At 46.9% G+C, this 21,672-nt stretch overlaps 1 protein-coding gene and 1 pseudogene across 3 annotated transcripts in view, besides 3 other annotated features; both read left to right on the top strand.

Annotated features, from left to right (window-relative positions):
* TEX14 (testis expressed 14, intercellular bridge forming factor) overlaps window positions 1–21,672 on the top strand; it is a 135,368-nt gene that overhangs the window by 59,651 nt on the left and 54,045 nt on the right. For 2 of the 3 annotated variants that reach the window (NM_031272.5, NM_198393.4), the window contains exons 3-10: window positions 1,841–1,955; window positions 9,383–9,548; window positions 10,609–10,745; window positions 14,776–14,857; window positions 16,090–16,220; window positions 17,050–17,163; window positions 18,851–18,974; window positions 21,056–21,234. In NM_031272.5, the coding sequence (NP_112562.3) occupies window positions 1,841–1,955; window positions 9,383–9,548; window positions 10,609–10,745; window positions 14,776–14,857; window positions 16,090–16,220; window positions 17,050–17,163; window positions 18,851–18,974; window positions 21,056–21,234 (1,048 nt within the window). Of the gene's footprint in view, window positions 1–1,840; window positions 1,956–9,382; window positions 9,549–10,608; window positions 10,746–14,775; window positions 14,858–16,071; window positions 16,221–17,049; window positions 17,164–18,850; window positions 18,975–21,055; window positions 21,235–21,672 lie in introns of all 3 variants that reach the window. The other variant, NM_001201457.2, reaches the window with a different exon arrangement.
* Window positions 372–511: an enhancer, noted in NCBI's record as "active region_12488". NCBI's record gives its function as "activates an Ori minimal core promoter by ATAC-STARR-seq in GM12878 lymphoblastoid cells {active_cell/tissue: GM12878}" and the evidence as "EXISTENCE:reporter gene assay evidence [ECO:0000049][PMID:35858748]".
* On the top strand, window positions 559–754 carry LOC124904154 (uncharacterized; annotated as a pseudogene).
* Window positions 10,639–10,948: an enhancer, noted in NCBI's record as "active region_12487". NCBI's record gives its function as "activates an Ori minimal core promoter by ATAC-STARR-seq in GM12878 lymphoblastoid cells {active_cell/tissue: GM12878}" and the evidence as "EXISTENCE:reporter gene assay evidence [ECO:0000049][PMID:35858748]".
* Window positions 14,724–14,783: an enhancer, noted in NCBI's record as "active region_12486". NCBI's record gives its function as "activates an Ori minimal core promoter by ATAC-STARR-seq in GM12878 lymphoblastoid cells {active_cell/tissue: GM12878}" and the evidence as "EXISTENCE:reporter gene assay evidence [ECO:0000049][PMID:35858748]".

Here is a 21,672-nt window from a genome sequence, read left to right as displayed (position 1 = left end):
CAGTGCGAAAACCAGAAAAAAATAAACACAGCAATGCCATGTAGAATAAAAACTCCCTGGTTTTTGGGGAAGAAATACAAAATATTTAAGTGTGTGGAATTTTGATCACAGTATAAAATATAATAGGGCGCGCTATGCAAATATCACAATCTTTGGCTTTGAATTATCGCTTTCCCTTCACTCTTTGGTTATTCTCGAAGGGCCTTCTTGCTTCCGATCATCAGTCCAAACCGGGCAGTTTCCCTGACGGTTTCTGGCGCTCCGGCGCGCTTTATAGTCGTCAGCGTTACGCGTGGAGGAAAATGGGGCGGGGTTAGAAAGGAGCTCTGAGTGATTTGCATGCTTTGCTACCATATGTTAATTACAGTGATTGCCTAAAGTATCTTCGAAATTTTGAGCTTATTTTAAATGCTTTTTCGAACTTTGGTAGTGGAAAGATCGTTTTTGGAAAAAACACATAGTAATATTTTCGAGAGGAAAATGTGCTCACGAAATACTCACCATCAGCATAATATGTGTGAGTTTCTTTCGCATGTGGAAGGCACATAAATGGACATTAAGACTATATTTTGAGGGATAATTTCTATAGTGTGTTTCTCGAGGAGTATATCTGAACGTGTAGAACGCTGGAAACCGCGAGAGGGAGATATTTGTGTTCTCTCACGAGTGGGATAGCAGTGTTTGGTGTTGCGTTATTCTAACTGCTGTTTGCTGTTGGTGACCGTTCTTCTCTAGAGAAGGCAGTCTGAGTAGTTCTGGGTTTTTTTTTTTTTCAGATGTTAATAGTAGTTGGTTTCCTCATGTTTTTAATTTTTGAGTATAAGGTTATGCCAGATGTGTGTTTTGAGAGATGTGTTGTGTATATATGCATATATTTTAACTTAGGATTGTGCAGAGTGCTTTTTGTGTGTTTTGAGAGATGTGAGATATGTGCATTTTTATTTTTGAGCTGGGGCTTTTTTCTGTGGTCCTGGAGTGCAATGGCACAATTTCGGCTCATTGCAGCCTCTGCCACTTAAGCAGTCCTCATGCTTCAGTTTCTCAAGTAGCTGGGACTATAGGTACGCAGCCAGCCCCGCTAGTTTTTGTATATTTAGTAGAGAGGAGATTTCGCCTTGTTGGCCAGGTTGGTCTCGAGCTCTTGGCCTCAAGTGATCTACCCGCCTCGGCTTCCCAAAGAGCTGGCATTACAGGCGTGAGCCACTGCGCCTCCAGGCTTGTGGGATTTCAATTTTTGTATTTCTTGGTGTTTTTTGGTCTTCTGGAGGACTAAATTTTTTTCTTGGTAGGTAAGGCATATTTTCCTTTTTTATTTATTTTCCTGGTCATGTTACTACTTTGGCCTTTTTTTTCAGTCCCTTTTAATTATTCACAGACTCATTGTTTGATAGTACTGGAAATTGGTCTGTTTTATGTGTTTTGTTTTCCCTTGTCGAATTAGTCTTTACACTTTAGTAAGATCTTTTAGGTGAGGACTTGTATTCCATTGAGCTCTTTTTATGTTATAGCCTTCCTCCCAACACACAGAGTATCTTTAGTCCCTCCCTCATCCTTTCCCATGATTGAGAACCATTTTAATCCATTTTATAATATGCCAGTGTGGTGAACTAAATGCTTCAATGCAACTTTCTGCAAATATTTTTGATGAATAAACACTGAGTTTGCCTTCCAGTATATCTATGTGCTACTAATGAAGACCTTCTTTGTACTTTTTTTAAAAAAAAGCTCACAGCAATATATGAAAGTACACTATAAAAATATGTAATTCCCCCACCCCCTACCCAGTTCCTTCTCAGGAAATTTTCTGATATTTGCATTGATTCTGATATTTCCTTTGCAGGAATTTATGTTGATGCAGTTAACTCCTTGGGCCAAACAGCACTTTTTGTTGCGGCGTTATTGGGCCTTAGGAAATTCGTTGATGTTCTGGTGGATTATGGATCAGATCCAAATCAGTAAGTACAATAATATTGATGTCTAGAAAATAGGGGTTGTGCTGTTAAGATGAGTTTGTTTAGAAACTAATTAGAAAAACGTTTGGCCGGGTGCGGTGTCTCATACCTATAATCCCAGCACTTTGGGAGGCCAAGGCGGGCAGATCACGAGGTCAGGAGTTAGAGACTAGCCTCACCAACATGGTGAAACCCTGCCTCTACTAAAAATACAAAAAATTAGCCAGGCGTGGTGGCGCATGCCTGTAATCCCAGCTACTTGGGAGGCTGAGACAGGAGAATCATTTGAACCCGGGAGGTGGAGGTTGCAGTGAGCCGAGATCGCGCCATTGTACCCCAGCCTGGGCAACAAGAGCGAGACTCAGTCTCAAAATAAAAAAAAAAGGGTGAATTTTGCCTGACTCTTATGGCTGTGGTTTAAAAGAATCAGAGTTTAGGCCGGGCATGGTGGCTCACGCCTGTAATCCCAGCACTTTGGGAGGCCGAGGTGGGAAGAGCAAAACTCCGTCAAAAAAAAAAAAAAAGGAAAAAAAAAAAACACGAAACACGAAAAGAATCGGAGTTTAATAGTTGGTCTAAATTTTATTTATTTATTTTTTTTTTTTTTTCAGACGGAGTCTAGCTCTGTCGCCCAGGCTGGAGTGCAGTGGTGCGATCTCGGCTCACTGCAAGCTCTGCCTCCCGAGTTCACGCCATTCTCCTGCCTCAGCCTCCTGAGGAGCTGGGACTACAGGCACCTGCCACCACGCCGGGCTAATTTTTTGTATTTTTAGTAGAGACGGGGTTTCATGATGCTAGCCAGGTTGGTCTCAGGATGGTCTCAATCTCCTGACCTCGTGATCTGCCCGCCTTGGCCTCCCAAAGTGCTGGGATTACAGGCGTGAGCCACCGTGCCCGGCCAATAGTTGGTCTAAATTTTAATATGAAACAGTAACACAGTGAATCAGTGACAGGTGAACATCTACTTTTTTTTTTTTTTTTTTTTTCCTGACACATGGTCTGCCTCTGTCGCCCAGGCTGGAGTGCAGTGGCAGGATCTTGGCTCACTGCAGCCTCTGCCACCCGGCTGCAAGCAATTCTCCTGCCTCAGCCTCCCTAGTAGCTGGGATTACAAGTGGGCACCACCAGGCCTGGCTAATTTTTTGTATTTTTAGTAGAGACAGGGTGTTGCCATGTTGGCCAGGCTGGTCTCGAACTCCTGGCCTCCATCCACCTTGGCCTCCCACAGTGCTGGGATTACAGGTGTGAGCCACTGTACTTGGCCGAACATCTCTTTTTGTGAAGCACTTCGGCTTTTGCTAGGGCCTTCTCAAATATTAGCTTATTTGACACCTTCTTGACAGAGAAGGGAGAGTGGGTGGTGGATATTTTTCAGTTCCCATTAAACAGAACCAGAAACTGGGGTTTTGGGCACTTAAGTGATTCAAGCTGATTTTCACAGGAATGCTAGAATATGAACAATCATAAAGTCTTTCCCATCTTACTTAAGGAGGCTCTGTTTAATGTACCTGCTTAAATTATTGATATTGGAAGCTTTTGTACTTTTTTTTTTTTTCTTGTGATGGAGTCTTGCTCTGTCACCCAGGCTGGAGTGCAGTGGCGCTACTACGGCTCACTGCAACCTCCGCCTCCCGTGTTCAAGTGATTCTTCTGCCTCAGCCTTCCAAGTAGCTGGGATTACAGGCACGTGCCACCACACCCAGCTAATTTTTGTAGTCTTTTTTTTTTTTTGAGACAGAGTCTCACTCTGTTGCCCAGGCTGGAGTGCAGTGGCGCAATCTCGGCTCATTGCAATCTGTGCCTCCGAGGTTCAAGTGATTCTCCTGCCTCAGTCTCCCTAGTAGCTGGGACTACAAGCGCGTGCCACCACACCCAGCTAATGTTTTATATTTTTAGTAGAGATGGGGTTTCACCGTGTTAGCTAGGATGGTCTCCATCTCCTGACCTCATGATCCGCCCGCCTTAGCCTCCCAAAGTGCTGGGATTACAGGCATGAGCCACTGCGCCCGGCCTAATTTTTGTATTCTTAGTAGAGGCAGGGTTTCACTATGTTGGTCAGGCTGGTCTCGAACTCTTGACCTCATGGTCCGCCCGCCTCAGTCTCCCAAAGTGCTGGGATTACAGATGTGAGCCACCGTGCCGAGCAGCTTTTGTATTTTATGTATGTGTGTTGTGGAGGGATTGGTTATAAAATTGCTTAGGGGAAGAAAACTTGGAAGCTTAGAAAAGCACAAAGAAAAAAGCCAATCAGTATGAGAATTAAGTAACCAGAGGTAACTTAAAACAATGAACATTTTGTTGTGTTTCCTTGCAGAATTTTTCTAGACTCACACACGCTCTACTGGCTCTACCGTATTGTTTAATTTCAAAGCCCGGAGAGAAAGGGGTCAGCCAGATGCAGTAGCTCACACCTGTAATCCCAGCAATTTGGGAGGTGAGGTGGGAGGATTGCTCGAGCCCAGGAGTTTGAGACTAGCCTGGGCAACAGAGACCCTGTCTATACCCAAAAAAAAAAAAAAAAAAAAAAAAGGTGGCATGGGGGCTGGCTCACCTGATGTTTGCATATACCCGTGTTGTAGGGAGGCCATATTGGGACAGTCTGCAGTTCTTCAGCAAAAATGCAACATTTTCTTTTTTCTTCAGTTTTTCCCACTTTTTTTTTTTTTTTTTTTTGAGATAGAGTCTTGCTCTGTCACCCAGGCTGGAGTGCAGTGGCATGATCTTGGCTCACTGCAACTTCTGCCTCCCAGGTGCAAGCGATTCTCCTGCCTCATCCTCCCGAGTAGCTGGGATTACAGGTGCCCACCACCACAGCTGGCTAATTTTGTATTTTTAGTAGAGATGCGGTTTCACCTTGTTGGCCAGGCTGATCTCAAACTCCTGACCTCAGGTGATCCACCAGCCTCCGCCTTCCAAAGTGCTGAGATTACAGGCATGAGCCACCATGCCCGGCCATTTCCCACTTCTTTTAGTTACTGAAACAAGGTGTATAAACATCGCCTTGAGTGATATAGTCATGACCATCATCACTTTCATATTCTGTATGACAGTATAATTCTGTTCAGTAAACATAAACCATTTTTTAAAAGCCTGTATAAAAAAATACAGATAAAAATTGAAACATTTTATAGTCATCTGCATTTACAACTGCTTTGTCCAGGCTTAAAGCTGATTTCTTTAAAGATCAAACCATTCAAACCTTTAATTTTCAAGATCAGGGAATTGAGACTAGCCCATAATATGGTACATAGTATTAATGACACAGCTGAGATCAGGAAGGAGCCCAGCTTCTGAAGACCTCAGAGTTTAAAGAAGTTCCCTTTTTCAAGTGTCCAGGAAGGACACTTGTAATGCCAGGCAATGCCAGGAAGGAAGTGGAAAGGGACAATAACAAGAGAGGATGGCAAACCCCTATGGCTTTGTATTTTCTGGTTGGGAACATTTTCATGTGACTTAAAAAATATCTGATGATTGGCTGCATAGAGGTACCGGGAAAAAAAGTTTTTAAAAAATTTTTATCTGATCAAGGTGAAGGGGAATTTCTGGGAGGAGGCTTTATTCCTTTTTTTGTTTTTGATGAAGTCTCACTCTGTTTTCCAGGTGGAGTGCAGTGGTGCGATCTTGGCTCACTGCAACCTCTGCTTCCTGGGTTCAAGCGATTCTCCTGCCTCACCCTCCCGAGTACCTGGGACTACAGGCGCGTGCCACCACACCTGACTAATTTTTGTATTTTTAGTTTTGCCATGTTGTCCAGGCTGGTCTTGAATTCCTGACCTCAGGTGATCCATCTGCCTCAGCCTCTCAAAGTGCTGGGATTTTAGGTGTGAGCTACCACACCCAGCCAGGAGGCTTTTTTTTTTTTTTTTTTTTTTTGAGATGGAGTCTCACCCTGTCGCCCAGGCTGTAGTGCAGTGGCACGGTCTTGGCTCACTGCAGCCTCTGCCTACAGGGTTCCAGCAATTCTCCTGCCTCAGCCTTCCAGGTAGCTGGGATTACAGGCACACGCCACTATGCCCGGCTAATTTTTGTTTGTATTTTTAGTAGAGACGGGGTTTCACCATGTTGGCTAAGCTGGTCTCGAACTCCTGACCTCAGATGATCCACCCGCCTCGGCCTCCCGATGTGCTAGGATTACAGGCATGAGCCACCGCACCCAGCCAGGAGGCTTTATTCCTATACGCTCAGTGGAAACGCTGTGATGGACTGGACCTATTGAAGTCACAAATCAGATGCCTACTGGACCAAGTAACTGGGTTTAGGTTTTCTCTGAGGAGGGTCAGGGATCTATTGCTGTTGGGCAGGAAAGGGGGGCAGGAAAGGGAGCCAGGAAAGCCAGATCTTCCGAATTTCCAAGAGCCGGAAATCCCAGTTTTTAATTTGAAATCTCCCAAATGTTGCCGGGCACAGTGGCTCACGCCTGTAATCCCAGCACTTTGGAAGTCCAGGGTGGGTGGATCATGAGGTCAGGAGATCGAGACCATCCTTGTCAACATGGTGAAACCCCGTCTCTACTAAAAATTAAAAAAAAAAAAAAATTAGCCAGCCATGGTGGCGGGCGCCTGTAGTCCCAGCTACTCAGGAGGCTCAGGCAGGAGAATATCTTCAACCCAGGAGGCGGAGGTTGCAGTGAGCCAAGATTGTGCCACTGCACTCCAGCCTGGGTGGCAGACAGAGACTCTGTCTCAAAATAAATAAACAAATAAATGAAAGCTCCCAAATGTTAAATATTGCCAACTATTTCAATTTTTTTGAACACTGTGTGTACCAAATAAAATAAACTTCTGAGTTGGCTAGGCAGAGACTCCAGTTTTTAGGCTTTACAATAAATAAATATGATAGTACACATTTTGATACCAGGTGGACCTGGATCCTCTTGTAAGCTTAGCTGGGTATAAATCATTATTCCTTTCCTCCTTAGCATTCATGAGAAATGAGAAATAATATCATCTGTGTCCTAACCCAGCTTTCTTACTGTTTGTGGGAGGAATGATTAGAAGATGGTAAGACAGGCTGGGCACAGTGGCTCATGCCTGTAATCCCAGCACTTTGGGAGGATGAGGCGGGCAGATCACCTGAGGTCAGGAATTTGAGACCAGCCTGGCCAACATGATGAAACTTCGTCTCTACTAAAAATACAAAAGTTACCTGAGCGCATGGTGGCAGGTGCCTGTAATTCCAGCTACTCGGGAGGCTGAGGCAGGAGAATCTCTTGAACACGAGAGGCAGAGGTTGCAGTGAGTCGAGATTGCACCATTGTACTGCAGCCTGGGGGACAAGAGCGAGACTTCGTCTCAAAAAAAGAAAAAAAAAAAACCCAAAAAACAAAAAAGAAGATGGTAAGACATTATACAAAGCTGTTTTTGCAGCAAGGAGGATATTGTGATTCCCACGATGCAGTGTGCTGGACTGCTTCTCTGCCCAGCAGTGGGAGAGAGCCTACAGTGAGAACCAATGGGATCAGTGGTTCCTATAAGCCTGTGTGCAGGCCAGCCTCTTTAGTATCACCAGGGGAATTTGAAAAACAAAACCAAACCAAACCACATTCCTGGGTCCTGTGCTTGCAGATTTTGTTTCAGTCAGTGTAAGGTGTAGTCTGAGAATCTGTGCTTTTGACAGATATCCCAGTGGATTATTAACTAAATTATGATACACCCATTCATTGGCATACTATGTAGCTGTTAAAAAGAATGGAGATGGCTTGTAGTTTCTCACTTGATCTTAGCCAAAAGGCCAAGAAGCGATGGCTTGTAGTTTCTCATATGGAAATTTCTCCAAGATAGATTCTTAAATGAAAATATGAAGGCTGGGCGCGGTGGCTCACTCTTGTAATCCCAGCACTTTGGGAGGCTGAGGTGGGTAGATCACCGGAGGTCAGGAGTTCGAGACCAGCCTGGCCAACATGGTGAAACCCTGTCTCCACTAAAAATACAAAAATTAACTGGGCATGGGTGGCGGGCACCTATAATCCCAGCTACTCAGGAGGCTGAGGCAGAAGAACCACTTGAGCCTAGGAGGCGGAGGTTGCAGTGAGCCGAGATCACACCATTGCACTCTAGCCTGGGTGACAAGAGCAAAACTCCGTCTCAAAAAAAAAAAAAAAAGAAAAGAAAAGAAAAGAAAATATGTAGATACAGAAGAGTTTGTATAGTGTATTCAGAGTCTCGCTCTGTCTCCCAGGCTGGAGTGCAGTGGCATGATCTCGGCTCACTGCAAGCTCTGCCTCCCGGGTTTTATGCCATTACGCCATTCTTAGCCTCAGCCTCCCGAGTAGCTGGGACTACAGGTATGCACCACCTACGCCCGGCTAATTTTTTTGTATTTTTAGTAGACACAGGGTTTCACCGCGTTAGCCAGGATGGCCTCGATCTCCTGACCTCGTGATCTGCCCGCCTCGGCCTCCCAAAGTGCTGGGATTACAGGCGTGAGCCACCACACCCGGCCTGTTTAGTGTATTCTTATTTATACTTGTATATACATAGAACATTTCCAGAAGGATACAAAAACTTGTAATAGTAATTGCATCTTGGTAAGAGAACTGGGTGTCTGGAGTTGGATGACTTTTTTCTTATCTTCTCTTCATCATCCTTTTCTTTCTCCTCCTCCTCCTCTGCCTCCCCCTCCCCTTCCCTCCCCCTCCTCCTCTTCTTCATCTTCTCCTTCTTCTCCTCCTCCTCCTTCTTCTCCTTCTTTCTTCTTCTTTTTTTTCCCTTCCTCCTCCTCCTATTTGTGTTTCTTTTTCAGTTAAAGAGAGAAAGTTCCCTGGTGATTCTGATGTGTAGCCAGGTTAGGAAACTAAGGCTATACATCATATCCTCACCATATCCTGGACACATTAAAGGCTGTCCCTTCATGTCTCAGACAGTTTACTGGCTTTGTTGAAATTTTTCTGAGGTGAAATTTTTCTGAGGTGTAGATCCTTGACTGCATTGCTGATGCCAAGGTTTTGTGCTCTACCACAGGATTTTCTTGGGGGGCTGTGGGGAGACATTCTCAAACGAGAGAGGTGGCGCCTTGTTAGGCTGTGCTTGACTAGCCTGATCCCAGGACACTGCAGGTGTGAAGACATTGTTTCTGGGCAGCCAATATCAGAGTGCTGGGGAAAGAAAATTGGATTTGGAACCAGATCTATGCCTGGGAATGAACCTCAGCTTTGCCGTTTTGTTTCCTCATCTGTAAATTGGGAAATGATACTTCCTTGAAGGGTTGAGTGAAGGAGGGAAAAAAAGGGATTGTGTGTGTGTGTGTGTGTGTGTGTGTGTGTACAGAAAGTTCCTGTGGGCACAGACAGGGGCCTCACAAATGATGTTGTTATATTCCTCGTCACCAACGTTGCCTTGTAGAATGGGAGCCCTGTGTTGCACGCTGAGCCCCGCTCCATGGAATGCAGGAGCATTGCCATGGACATCAATTGTACTCATCTCCCTCCCCAGCCGCTGCTTTGATGGGAGCACCCCTGTCCATGCAGCAGCATTTTCGGGCAATCAGTGGATCCTTAGCAAACTGCTGGATGCAGGAGGTGACCTGCGACTCCACGATGAGAGGGGTCAAAACCCGAAGACTTGGGCTTTGACAGCAGGAAAGGAGCGTAGCACCCAGGTAAGGGTGGGTCCCACTCTGTAGCCATGCCCACTAGAAGAGTACTGGGCTGAGAGTCAGGCTCCCAGTGGTCAGCACAGAGCGTACAGTGGCCTTAGTATTGGTACTGGAGTCTCAGGCTTGGATCGAAGCAAATTAGCCAGCTGCGAAACTTCCGGCAGGTCTAGTGAACCTTTCTACTCATCGTATTCGATGGGAAAGGCAAACAACTGTAATTTTGTCTGACCCATTTAACTAGCACTTACCATGACTCAGATGTTGTTTTAAATGTTTTTTATATATTAACTCAATCTTCACAACAACCTCTCAGGTAAGTACTATTAATGTCCTTATTGTACAGGTGGGGAAACTGAGGCCCACTGACATTAAGTAACTTTGTTTGGCAGGTGGGAATTTTTTTTTTTTTTTTGGGAAGGAGTCTTGCCCAGGCTGGAGTGCAGTGGCGCGAGCTCAGCTCACTGCAACCTCCGCCTCCTGGGTTCAAGCAATTCTCCTGCCTCAGCCTCCTGAGTAGCTCGGATTACAAGCATGCACCACCACACTCAGCTAACTTTTGTATTTTGAGTAAAGACGGGGTTTCTCCATGTTGGCCAGGCTGGTCTCGAACTCCTGACTCAGGTGATTCGCCCACCTTGGCCTCCCAAAGTGCTGGAATTACAGGCATGAGCCACTGCACCCAGCTGGTGTGATGTGTTTTAATGAAGACTAAATAACATAAATGTAAAACTCAAAGGGCAGGTACAGTGCCAGGCCCCTCTGTGTGCAGTCTCCTTTCTGGGGCTCCTGCTTATTAAAGCTGTTGGGCCTTGGACCAGCAAATTTTACTCGTCTTGGCCTTGGTTTCCTCATCTGTTGAAGGAGGGAGTTGGAGGAAATTGTTTCCCTAAAGCCTCTCCCTGAAAACATTCCATACCTTTAGAAAATCACCTGGGCCCTTTCCTTTTGAGAGGTTTTTCTGTTGGGGGCTCTCAGCTCCTCGGACCACTTATCTTCATACCCAAGCTTCCATTCCATTGAGAACTGGTGCGCCCGCACTGGGCATCTCTGCGATGTTTTGCAGATAGTGGAGTTCATGCAGCGCTGTGCCTCACACATGCAGGCCATCATCCAGGGCTTCTCTTACGACCTCCTGAAGAAGATAGACTCCCCGCAGCGGCTTGTCTACAGCCCGTCCTGGTGTGGGGGCCTCGTGCAGGGGTGAGTACTGCCTTGAGCAGAGTGGGATAGTCTCCATCACCCAGCCTTCCTCGTGGGAGCCCTGCAGCATGGGTTGCCTCAGCTCCTCCACATCAGTGCCCTCTGGCATCTGGCCCATCCAAAGGGGTGTGCTTGGAAAGAAAAGGCTTGGCCTTGATGAAGGAAGGCCAGAGGATCACCTTTCGCCCTCTCTCTCCTCTCCCTGAGAAGGTGTGAGAGGAATGAGTGTGGGCTCTGATGGAAACCACCCTGTGGTTAGCAGAAGGAGAACATCTCAGGTCTGAGGAGCCCAGCAGAAAACCCTTACCCAGCAGGACACCTGGCTGGCTTTTTTGTCATCTCCTGAACCACAGAAAGAGTGTTCCTTTATTACTAAGGTTGCAAAAGACCACAAATGCTTAACTTACGGTTTCTTGGGCTATTTTCAGCTGATACGAGAGACTTGCTGCCAGCTGGATGGGCAGCCCCCTCTTCTCCCATCACAGCTGCAGGAGGTGGGCTCCATGCTTTTCTCCATGCTCAGGGTTAAGCTTGGAAGGGAGGAGTGTCATTTTAACTTCTCTGGGATTGGTTGACTTAGGGTTTGTATGTAGAGAATCCTTCCCATTTGGCTTTCCTCTGATGGCATCTCTTTCTGTAAGCAGGGTAGCTGGGCTCACCACACTTTTGCAGGCTTCCTTGTCCTGTCATTCATGCACTTTGAGTCCTGGCTTTCCTCTGATGATTGGATGCTGCTGGCTTCTCAGGCGAGATGAGTTCATGATTCCGTTAACTCCTAACGGCTGTGCTGCGTGCCACTCTGGCCAGTTTTGGCTCTTTGCTCAGCATCCAGAATGACCTTTTAAAAATGGAAATCAGGTGGCTGGGTACAGTGGCTCACACCTGTAATCACTTTTGGAGGTTGAGGTGGGTGGATCACCTGAGGTCAGGAGTTCGAGACCAGCCTGGCCAACATGGTGAAACCCCCGTCTCTACTAAAAATACAAAAATTAGCCGGGTGTGGTGGCATGCACCTGTAATCCCAGCTACTCAGGAGGCTGAGGCAGGCGAATCACTTGAACCCAGGAGGCGGAGGTTGCAGTGAGCCGAGATCGCACCACTGCACTCCAGCCTGGGTGACAGAGCAACACACTGTCTCAAAAAAAAAAAATATTAGCCGAGTGTGTTGGTGTGCTCCTCATAGTTCCAGCTACTCTGGAGGCTGAGGTGAGAGGATCACTTGAATCTGGGAGGTGGAGGTTGCAGCAAGCCAAGATCATGCAACTGCACTCCAAACTGGGTGACAGAGCGAGATCCTGTCTCAAAAAATAAAGTAATCAAATAAAACTAAAATAATGGAAATCAGGTTGTACCACTCTGCTAAAACTCCTTAAGGACCTTCCCCATGGCTATTAGGATAGGTTTAGAAATCCCTTATCCGGCCTTGGAGACCCTGCCTCATCCAAGCCCTCCCCCTTCATCTCCTGCCTCTGCCCCTGGCGCTTGTATGGAGACCCGTCCTTCAGAGTTTAGAGAATTGTCATAGTTTGCAATTATTTTATTTGTATATGTTCTTCTCCAGTTTTCCAATTAAATTGTGAATTCCAAGAGCTCAGGGGCTGTGTCTATCCTATTCATTGCTACTAACCCTTAGCTGCTTGGTGCATGGTAGGGCTCTGTACAAGGAGAGGAGGCTCATGAGTGAGCCTGAAAGGAAAACCCAAGTGTAAATGTGGATGAGCTTTTACAATCTTAGTTACTCATCTAGATACAGCATTTAGTTTAGAATTAGAGGAAACATTCTTACGGGGTTAATGGAATGCTTACATGGAAATACACTCCTCTTCCCCCACCTTTTTTTTTTTTTTTTTTTTGAGACTGAGTCTTCTCTGTCGCCCAGGCAGGAGTCCGTGCAATCTCGGCTCACCACAACCTCTGTCTCCTGGGTTCAAGCAATTCTCCTGCCTCAGCCTCCTTAGTAGCTGGGATTACTATAAAATTAGCACACCTGGCTAATTTTATATTTTTAGTAGAGATGGGGTTTCACCGTGGCCAGGCTAGTCTGGAATTCCTGACCTCAGGTGATCCGCCTGCCTCTGCCTCCTGAAATGCTGGGATTACAGGCGTGAGCCACCGTGCCCGCCCCCCCTCCTCTTAATGTAAAAAACCACACAAATTCTTGAAATTAGAGTTAGCCTCTAAGATTTGTGAGTGGTGCCGTGTCAGATAAGATTCCTCACACGTGTGTTTGCACAGAGCTTGGACTGGGGAAAGAAGAAAAGCACTGAGTTGAGGACAGATGGCTGTAGATGACTAGAGTTAGTTTTTTTCTCCCCTTAACCCAGCCGAGTTATATAGATGTGTGCTGAGAAATTTAGGTAAGAGAGCAGGAAATGTTGGTCTGAACTGCAGTTGTCCAGGTCACTGTTTGAGAACACTCGGCTCTTTTGCTTAGAAAGAACTCTCCCCTCCAAAGAGCCATGTACTGCCCAGAGGCCCCAGAGTGGAAGGCAGGAGGCCTCGTCACTGGTAACCCCCAGTTCCACTGCTGCTAGAGGCTGACACCCTCACTGTCAGCACAAGGTCTGTTCCCCTGGGCAAGAAACGGTCCACTGTCTCCTAGATCTTTTGAGGCCTAAGCACATAAGCCTTATTTTAAGAAGAGACTGATGATTTGGTGTTGAAAAGTGGCCTTTTTCTTATGGTCTGTTTACTCAAGTGAGAGTGACCATATAGCTGATTATCTGTTGGCTGTTTCGAGAGTGAAAGGGAAACTATCAATAATGGTGCTAAGATACCAGGTGTAAATTGGGATGCTCAGTTTATCTCAGTCTAAACATCAGAGTCTTCTCCTCAATAGCATAGCAGCTTAAAGCAGAGACGGGACAGCTTGGCACTGATGAGTTGCTGAGGAAATAGAAAAGAAGTAAAGCACTTACATCTGTTCTCTAATAGTGGCATGTGGGGCCTCACAGACCTGAGGTAGGGCTGGCCCTGAGTATGCACCGTCTCCCAGCTCCTTTGCCATTTGCCAAGAAAAGGAAAGTGCCTCTGGTGGCAGTAGGATCTTTTTTCCTTCAGTCTGAGCTGAAAGTACTCAACTGGCAAGCATTAACTGAGCACCTACTGCATGGCACCATGCCAGGTTCTGGGAGCCAAAGAAATACGAGGCATCACCCCTTCTTCCAAGACACCTTCAGTGAAGGGGGACCCTGATGCACAAGTGGTAGTTTGAGTGTGGAATGTGGGAAGAACAGTGGCTGGAATGAGCAACATCAGTGTCTGGTCACTGCTGCATTTTATGACCTCAGGCCAGCAAGTTTCCTTTTCCTGGGCTTCATTTTTTTGCCTATATAATGAAAAAACTGGACAAGATGTGCTTATGGTTATTTCCAACTCTGACCATCTGTATTTGTTATCTATTGCTGCATAATGAATCACCCCCCAAACTTAGCAGCCTCAAACAATAAAATTTTTATCTCACACAATTTCTGTGGGTCAGGAATCAGGGAATGGTTTAACTAGGTTGTTCTGGCTCAGAGTTTCTAATGAAGTTGCAGTTAAGATGTTAGTTAGGGCTGTATTCATCTGAAGGCTTGACTGAAGATGGACAATTCAGTTCCAAGATGGCTCGCTTACGTGGCTGGCAAATTGGTGCTGGGCATTGAGCCTCCCCCAGGGCTGCTTGAATGTCCTCATATCATGGCAGCTGGCAGAGCAAATGATCCAAGAGAGATCAGGGCTGACGCCTTGGTAGATTTAGCCTCAAAGTGAGAGACTATCACTGTTTTGCACTGTTAACAGTCAAAAATGAGTTAACAGGTCAGCCCCATGTGACCTGTGAGGGGCTACACAAGGTTATGCATACCGGTAAGTGAGAATCATAGAGGCCCTCTCAGAGGCTGGCTGTTACATCATCTCTAGTTTTGTAACAGAAAGTCTAGCAGTAAAGACAAAGTCAACTACACCTTCTGAAAACTTGGTTCAGCATTATTATTCTGGATATGAGTGGTTAATTCTGAGGTTTTTTTCCTGTTTTAAATATTTCTAGAAACCCTAATGGCTCTCCTAACCGACTGCTTAAAGCTGGAGTCATTTCTGCTCAAAATATCTACAGCTTTGGTTTTGGGAAGGTAAGAGGTTGCCACTGACAGCCAGTGTTTGCAGGACTAACTGGAGAATCATCGGGCCCCATCTCCCACCTTTGTCCAACTCCTGCCTCCTTATCCTCACCAAAGTGTTGTTCTTTTCTTTTTTGCCCCTATTGAGGGAAAGGTATCTCTTAGTGTTCCTGTCTTACTAACAAATTTGTGAAAACCCCAGAGAATTCCCTTGGATGACCCTGGGCTACACTTGAGTTTAGAAAATGATCTTTTCATTAATTAATTTTTAGTTTTTAATTTTTAATTATTATTTTTTTGAGACAGAGTCTGGCTCTGTTGCCCAGGCTGGAGTGCAGTGGCGCGATCTTGGCTCACTGCTGCAACCTCTGCCTACTGGGTTCAAGCAATTCTGATGCCTCAGCCTTCCAAGTAGCTGGGATCACAGGTGTGTGCCACCATGCCTGGTTACTTGTATTTTTAGTAGAGATGGGATTTCGCCATGTTGCCCAGGCTGGTCTCCATCTTCTGGACTCAATCGGTCCACCCGCCTTGACCTCTCAAAGTGCTGGGATTACAGGCGTGAGCCAACTCGCCCAGCCCTACTCCCCGTTCTGTTTGTTGTGTTGAGGCAGCCTGGTGGGGAGGGAGAGGAGGAATATCAGATTTGGCCGCACACAATCCTGGGTGCTGTGGGGACCACAATGGGCTTCTCAGTCCCAGCAATGGCACTTGAGGCATCTGACTTCTTTCCATGAGCCTCAGTTTCTTCAGGGAAAAGAACAAAAGGGAAATAATAAAACCTTGAAAGGTTTTTAGAAAGATTAAAGATAATATAAAGAGTTGTGGTGAGGCCTGGTGGCTCACGCCTATAATCTTAGCACTTTGGGAGACCAAGGTGGGTGGATCACTTGAGCCCAGGACTTTGACACCAGCCAACATGGCAAAAGCCCGTCTCTATTTAAAAAAAAAATTAGCCAGGTGTGGTGGTGCATGCTTGTAATCCCAGCTACTTGGGAGGGTGGAGTGGGAGGATCGCTTGAGCCCAGGAGGTCCAGGCTGCAGTGAGCCAAGATCATGTCATATGCTCCAGCCTGAGTGACAGTGATACCCTGTCTCAAAAAAAAAAAAAGGCCCAGTGCATAGGGGTATTCAGAAAGTTGATAAATAGCAGCTCTCATTCTTTTAGCTGGCTGATAAGATTCTGGATGTATTCTGCTTTTCCCCCCTTCTCCCCATAATTTGAGGCTATGCCTTGGTTTCAGTTTTATCTTACTGGGGCGACACAGATGGCCTATCTAGGATCTCTTCCGGTCATTGGAGAAAAGGAAGTGATTCAAGCTGATGATGAGCCCACCTTCTCTTTCTTCAGCGGCCCCTACATGGTCATGACCAAGTAAGTGGGGGCTGGCCAGTTTGAGGTCTGATTCAGTTTCAGGGGAAGAGTGGGCTGCATGTGACTTCCTTATGTGTGGGGAGTTTCTACTCAAACACAGGGAACACCTAAGAACATCTGTCTAAATCAGGGTTTCTCAGCCAGGACACTATTACCATTTTTGGCCAGATGATCCTTTGTTGTTGGGAGTAGTCCTGTGCATTGTAGAATGTTTAGAAGTCCCTGGTCTCTACCCACTAGTGCCAGTTGCAGTCCCTTACAGCCCCCACAGCTGTGACAACCAAACTGTCTTACAGACATTGCCATAGGTTTCTGGGGGAGAACCACTGCTCTGAAAGATTACTCATTACAATACTTTAATGTCTCTGCTCTCTGAAGAATTAGAGGCAGCTTGGTAGTGACTGTCTTGCCTCTGATACAGGTCAAGGGTAATGAGGCCCCTATAGAAGCTGTTTTATTGCTGCTGCCTTTGCCCAAGTCTTCACCATCCCTCACCTGGGGTGGTCTCCTAACTGGCTTCCCATTCTCTGGACCACCCCTCCCCTACCCATTCCCCACATTGCCGGTAACGTTGTGTTTTTGAATACAAACCTGATCAAGTCACTCTCTCCCTTGCATTCAGTGACTTCCCACCACCTATACCTAAGTTCTCCAGGGTGCTTTAGTACCTGGGGGTGGGTAGTGGGAGAGAGGACCCAGTAGTGCCCAGTGGGCATTGCAGGTTCTGTGTGGAGACCATTTCTCTGGTCCTTGCTTAGGAAAGCTTATTCATTGAAGGAGTAAGTGGCTGCTCACTCCTTTCTGCTGAAACTCTTTCCTGTCCTTGTAGCCTAGTGTGGAATGGGAGCAGGGTCACAGTGAAAGAGCTGAATCTCCCCACCCACCCACACTGCAGCAGGCTGCGGCTGGCCGACTTGTTAATTGCCGAGCAGGAACACAGCAGGTGAGAAGGAAGCCCAAGGCCCCTTATAGGTCCAGGTCTCTCTACAGACTCAGGTTCTGGGCTATTCAGCTCTGTGCCTGGGATAGGGAGCTCCAGCTGCTCTCAGTCTCAGCATTTCCTGACTGTTGAAATTGATTGACTTGACTTCGAAGGGCTGCCAGGAAAGAGGAAGAGAAGTTAACGAGTAGCCTGAGCAGTGGGGACAGTGGTGGTGAGGGGCTCTGTCAGCTGTCAGCCGCCCTGTAACCCATGTCTCTGAATGCTGCAGCCTCCATGCAGGCCCTTCTGATTCTCATGCTACAATCCCTGAGTCCACCCACTTTGGGCCCTGTGCCCATCAGGACGGCATGTGGCTATCCTGTTTTCATAGAGCATGGCTTGCTTAAGATCCAGATGTCTGAGGACATGTCTGTGCCATTGAGGACAGGCTCATGGATCTCCAGACCTTAGGGTTCCTATGGCTCCAGAGTTAAGTCCTTCTGCTCTTGCTAGGACAGGTTCTTGATTCATTCATTCAGTGGACCCAGGCTTATCGAGCTCTCTCCTAAGAAGGCTCCTCAACTTCTGCAGGAGGCATGTAGAGAGGCCACATTCTTCTTTTTGTGGAAGTCGGCTTGAAGGGACCAAAGGAAGCTGAAAGAAGGAGCCTGGGCAACATAGACTTTGACATGAGACTGAGTTGGGCATGCAACCTTAGGTGAATTCCTGACATATTTCTTCCTATTTTTTTTGCGGGGAGGGTAGGATTGAGTCTCGCTCTGTTGCCCAGGCTGGAGTGCAGTGGCACCATCTAGGCTCACTGCAACCTCCACCTCCTGGGCTCAAGCGATTCCCAGGCCTCAGCCTCCTGAGTAGCTGGGACTACTGGCGTGCGCCACTACACCTGGCTAACTTTTGTATTTTCAGTAGAGACAGGGTTTCATCATCTTGGCCAGGCTGGCCTCAAACTCCTGATTTCAAGTGATCTGCCCACCTTGGCCTCCCAAAGTGCTGGGATTACAGACGTGAGCCACTGCACCAGGCCCTGACATTTCCTTGATGTTGGTCTCCTCATCTATAAAATGAGTATAATGATACATTTCTTGCAGGTGGTTGTTAGGATCTGAGACGATGTATGCAAAGAATACAGGAGCTCTTGGCCACATTGTCATTGTTGTCATTGATGGCTCTAAGCTCTCAAGGTCTCATCAGTTAGGGCCACAGATTCCAACAGAAACCCTCACCAACACCTCATCCTGTTTTCTTAGAAAACATTGTATACAAAAGGCCACGCCCAATGGCTCACGCCTGTAATCCCAGCACTTTGGGAGGCCAAGGCGGGTGGATCACCTGAGGTCAGGAATTCAAGACCAGCCTGGCCAACATGGTGAAACCCCATCTCTACTAGAAATACAAAAATTAGCTGCAAGTGGTGGTGGGCATCCGTAATCCCAGCTACTTGGAAGCCTGAGGCAGTAGAATCGCTTCAACCCAGGAGGCGGAGGTTGCAGTGAGCCAGCCGAGAGATCACCCCACTGCACTCCAGACTGGGCAATACAGTGAGACTCTGTGTCAAAAAAAAAAGAAAAGAAAAGAAAACATCGTATACAAATGGTATTTGTTTAGAATGTGTTCAAAAGGCCTACGCTCATTTTTTCATCATATCCTCCTCTCACCTGCCTTATCTGAAGCTTCTTTTCTTTTGCAGCAAGCTGCGGCACCCCTACTTGCTACAGTTGATGGCTGTGTGTCTCTCCCAGGACCTAGAGAAAACCCGCCTTGTGTACGAGCGCATCACTATCGGCACATTGTTCAGTGTCCTTCATGAACGAGTAAACTGCTGTTTCCGTGGATTTTCCATTGCTGACCTCCCAGTTTCTTCCCTCCTCACCCTCTTGCCCCAGCTGTGGTGATCCCATTTCTGCATGCATGGAAGATAAATATCTTTATTCTTTTGCTTTATAGGGGCTGTATAACATGCTATTTAAGGCTGATAAGCACATGGTCAGAATTAGTACGGTTTTATTATTGTCAGTTCTGCTTTTTTTTTTTTGAGACAGAGTCCCTCTGTTGCCTAGGCTGGAGTGCAGTGGCGCGATCTTGGCTTACTGCAACCTCTACCTCCTGGATTCAAGTGATTCTCCTGCCTCAGCCTCCCGAGTAGCTGGAACTACAGGCGCCTGCCACTATGCCTGGCTAATTTTTGTATTTTTAGTAGAGATGAGGTTTCACCGTGTTGGCCAGGCTGTTCTCAAACTCCTGACCTCAGATGATCCACCCACCTTGGCCTCCCAGAGTGCTGGGATTGCAGGCGTGAGCCACTGCACCCGGCCTGTCCTGCTTTTTTTGAGACAGGGTCTTGCTCTATTGCCCAGGCTGGAGTACAGTAGTGAGATCATAGCTCACTGTAACCTCCAACTCCTGGGCTCAAATGATCCTGCATCAGCCTCCAATGTAGCTGAGACTACAGGTGCATGCCACCATGCCCAGCTAATTTTTTTTTTTTTTTTTTTTTTTGAGACAAGAGTCTCCTTCTGTCACCCAGGCTGGAGTACAGTGGCACGATCTCTGCTCACTGCAACTTCTGCCTCCCTGGTTCAAACGATTCTCATGCCTCAGCCTCCCAAGTAGCTGGGATTACAGGCACCCCCCACCACACCCAGCCAATTTTTGTATTTTTAGTAGAGACGGGGTTTCACCATGTTGGCCAGGATCATCTCGAACTCCTGACCTCAGGCGATTCACCTGTCTCAGCCTCCTAAAGTGCTGGGATTTCAGGCTTGAGCCACTGCACCCAGCCCCCACCCAGCTAATTTTTAAAATTTTAATAGAATCATGGTCCCACTATGTTGCCCAGGCTGGTCTTGAACTCCTGGCTTCAAGTGATCCTCCTGCCTTAGCTTCCCAAACTGTTGGGATTATAGGTACGAGCCACTGCAGCCAGCCTAGTCCTGCTTCTTGATCAGACATCTAAGAGCGCAGTGGACCCAGAAAATACAGACACCTTTGACTAACTATAATCCAGCAGCCACTGGCTTTATTTTCCTACATTTTCATTTGTGCTCTCTCCCAGTTTTTTCTATAGAGGCCTGTATCACTCCCCTCTCACCTCTCAAATTTCCTTGGGGTTGGGAGACATCTTTCCTGGCTTGTATAGAGTCCCTGGAAAGGGTGCTTTGGCCTGAGATGTAGGTTTAGAGAGCTCTTGGAGTATTTAGGTTTTTTTCCTCCATGACTTTGTTCTAAATACTTTGGATAGAAGTAAGGAGACCCCAAGAAGGGCTCTTCCCCCAAATGGCTTGCCATTCCTTCTGCCTGAGGACCTCCTATTCTGTTTTTTTCTGTTTTTCCCCCTTGAGTGAGGGTATTACCTTAAAGACCATTTCTCTGGGGGAGAGACCCATTAAGACTTTAGTCAGCCAGGTGCATTGATGTGAGTGAATTTCTGTCCCCTTAGGAGGCACTTTCTGTCTCATCTGACTGGGGTAGGACTGAATTGGTTATCTGCATTCTGCAGGGTCCTTTGAGCTTCCAGGTTCTCCCCAGCAGCTTGGGCTTGGACAGGGAGGCGACAGGGCAGGTTTACTGGTGGTATGGGGGGACCTCCCCTGTCAGTTTTCCCCAAGCCAATCCTGGATGCACATACCAGACTTTGAGAACTTTCTTTTCATTTTTTGTGGTATGAAGCAGCTCAGCTGAGGGAAAGGAATCCAGGTTTGGATCCAGGGGGCCTGAGTCATTGGGACGTCAGGCCATTCACTTAGCCTCACTGAGCTTTAGGTTCTCCATCTGTAAAATGGGGATCCTTGGTAACCATGAGGATCATATGGAAAGACTGGAAATCACAAAATGCTCTACAGTGTCAGGGCCCCAGTCCTTTTTTTTTTCGTGGCATTTCATCTCTTGCTTGCAGCGGTCCCAGTTCCCAGTGCTGCACATGGAGGTGATTGTGCACCTGCTGCTCCAGATATCTGATGCCCTGAGATACCTGCATTTCCAGGGGTTTATCCACCGCTCCCTCAGCTCCTATGCTGTCCATATCATCTCCCCAGGTGAAGCGAGGCTGACCAACCTGGAGTACATGTTGGAAAGGTGGGCATAACATGGAGTGGGACTTTCTCCTGAAGTTGATCTCCCTTGGGGACCCTTCCTATAGAGACAGAATCTGATCTGGGTGGGACTCCTCATTGGTGAGATGAACCTGTTCATCAGTTGCTGAACCTGTCCCAAATGCCTTACCCTGTCTGCCAAGGCTAGAGGAATTTGGAGACATTTTAATAAACATTTAACAAGTAAGAGCTCGTATTAGCCAATGTGCATAAATGCTATAATTATCCATTCCAAAATTTTCAGCGGCTTTTTTTTTTTTGACGGAGTCTTGCCCTCTTGCCCAGGCTGGAATGCAGTGGCACAATCTCGGCTCACTGCAACCTCCGCCTCCTGGGTTCAAGCGATTCTCTTGCCTCAGCCTCCTGAGTAGCTGGGGTTACAGGTGCTCACCACCACGCCTGGCTAATTTTTGTGTTTTTA

This window comes from Homo sapiens, chromosome 17 (genome assembly GCF_000001405.40).
Source record: "Homo sapiens chromosome 17, GRCh38.p14 Primary Assembly".
Classification (NCBI taxonomy): domain Eukaryota; kingdom Metazoa; phylum Chordata; class Mammalia; order Primates; family Hominidae; genus Homo; species Homo sapiens.
This window is presented reverse-complemented; position numbering and strand designations above follow the sequence as displayed.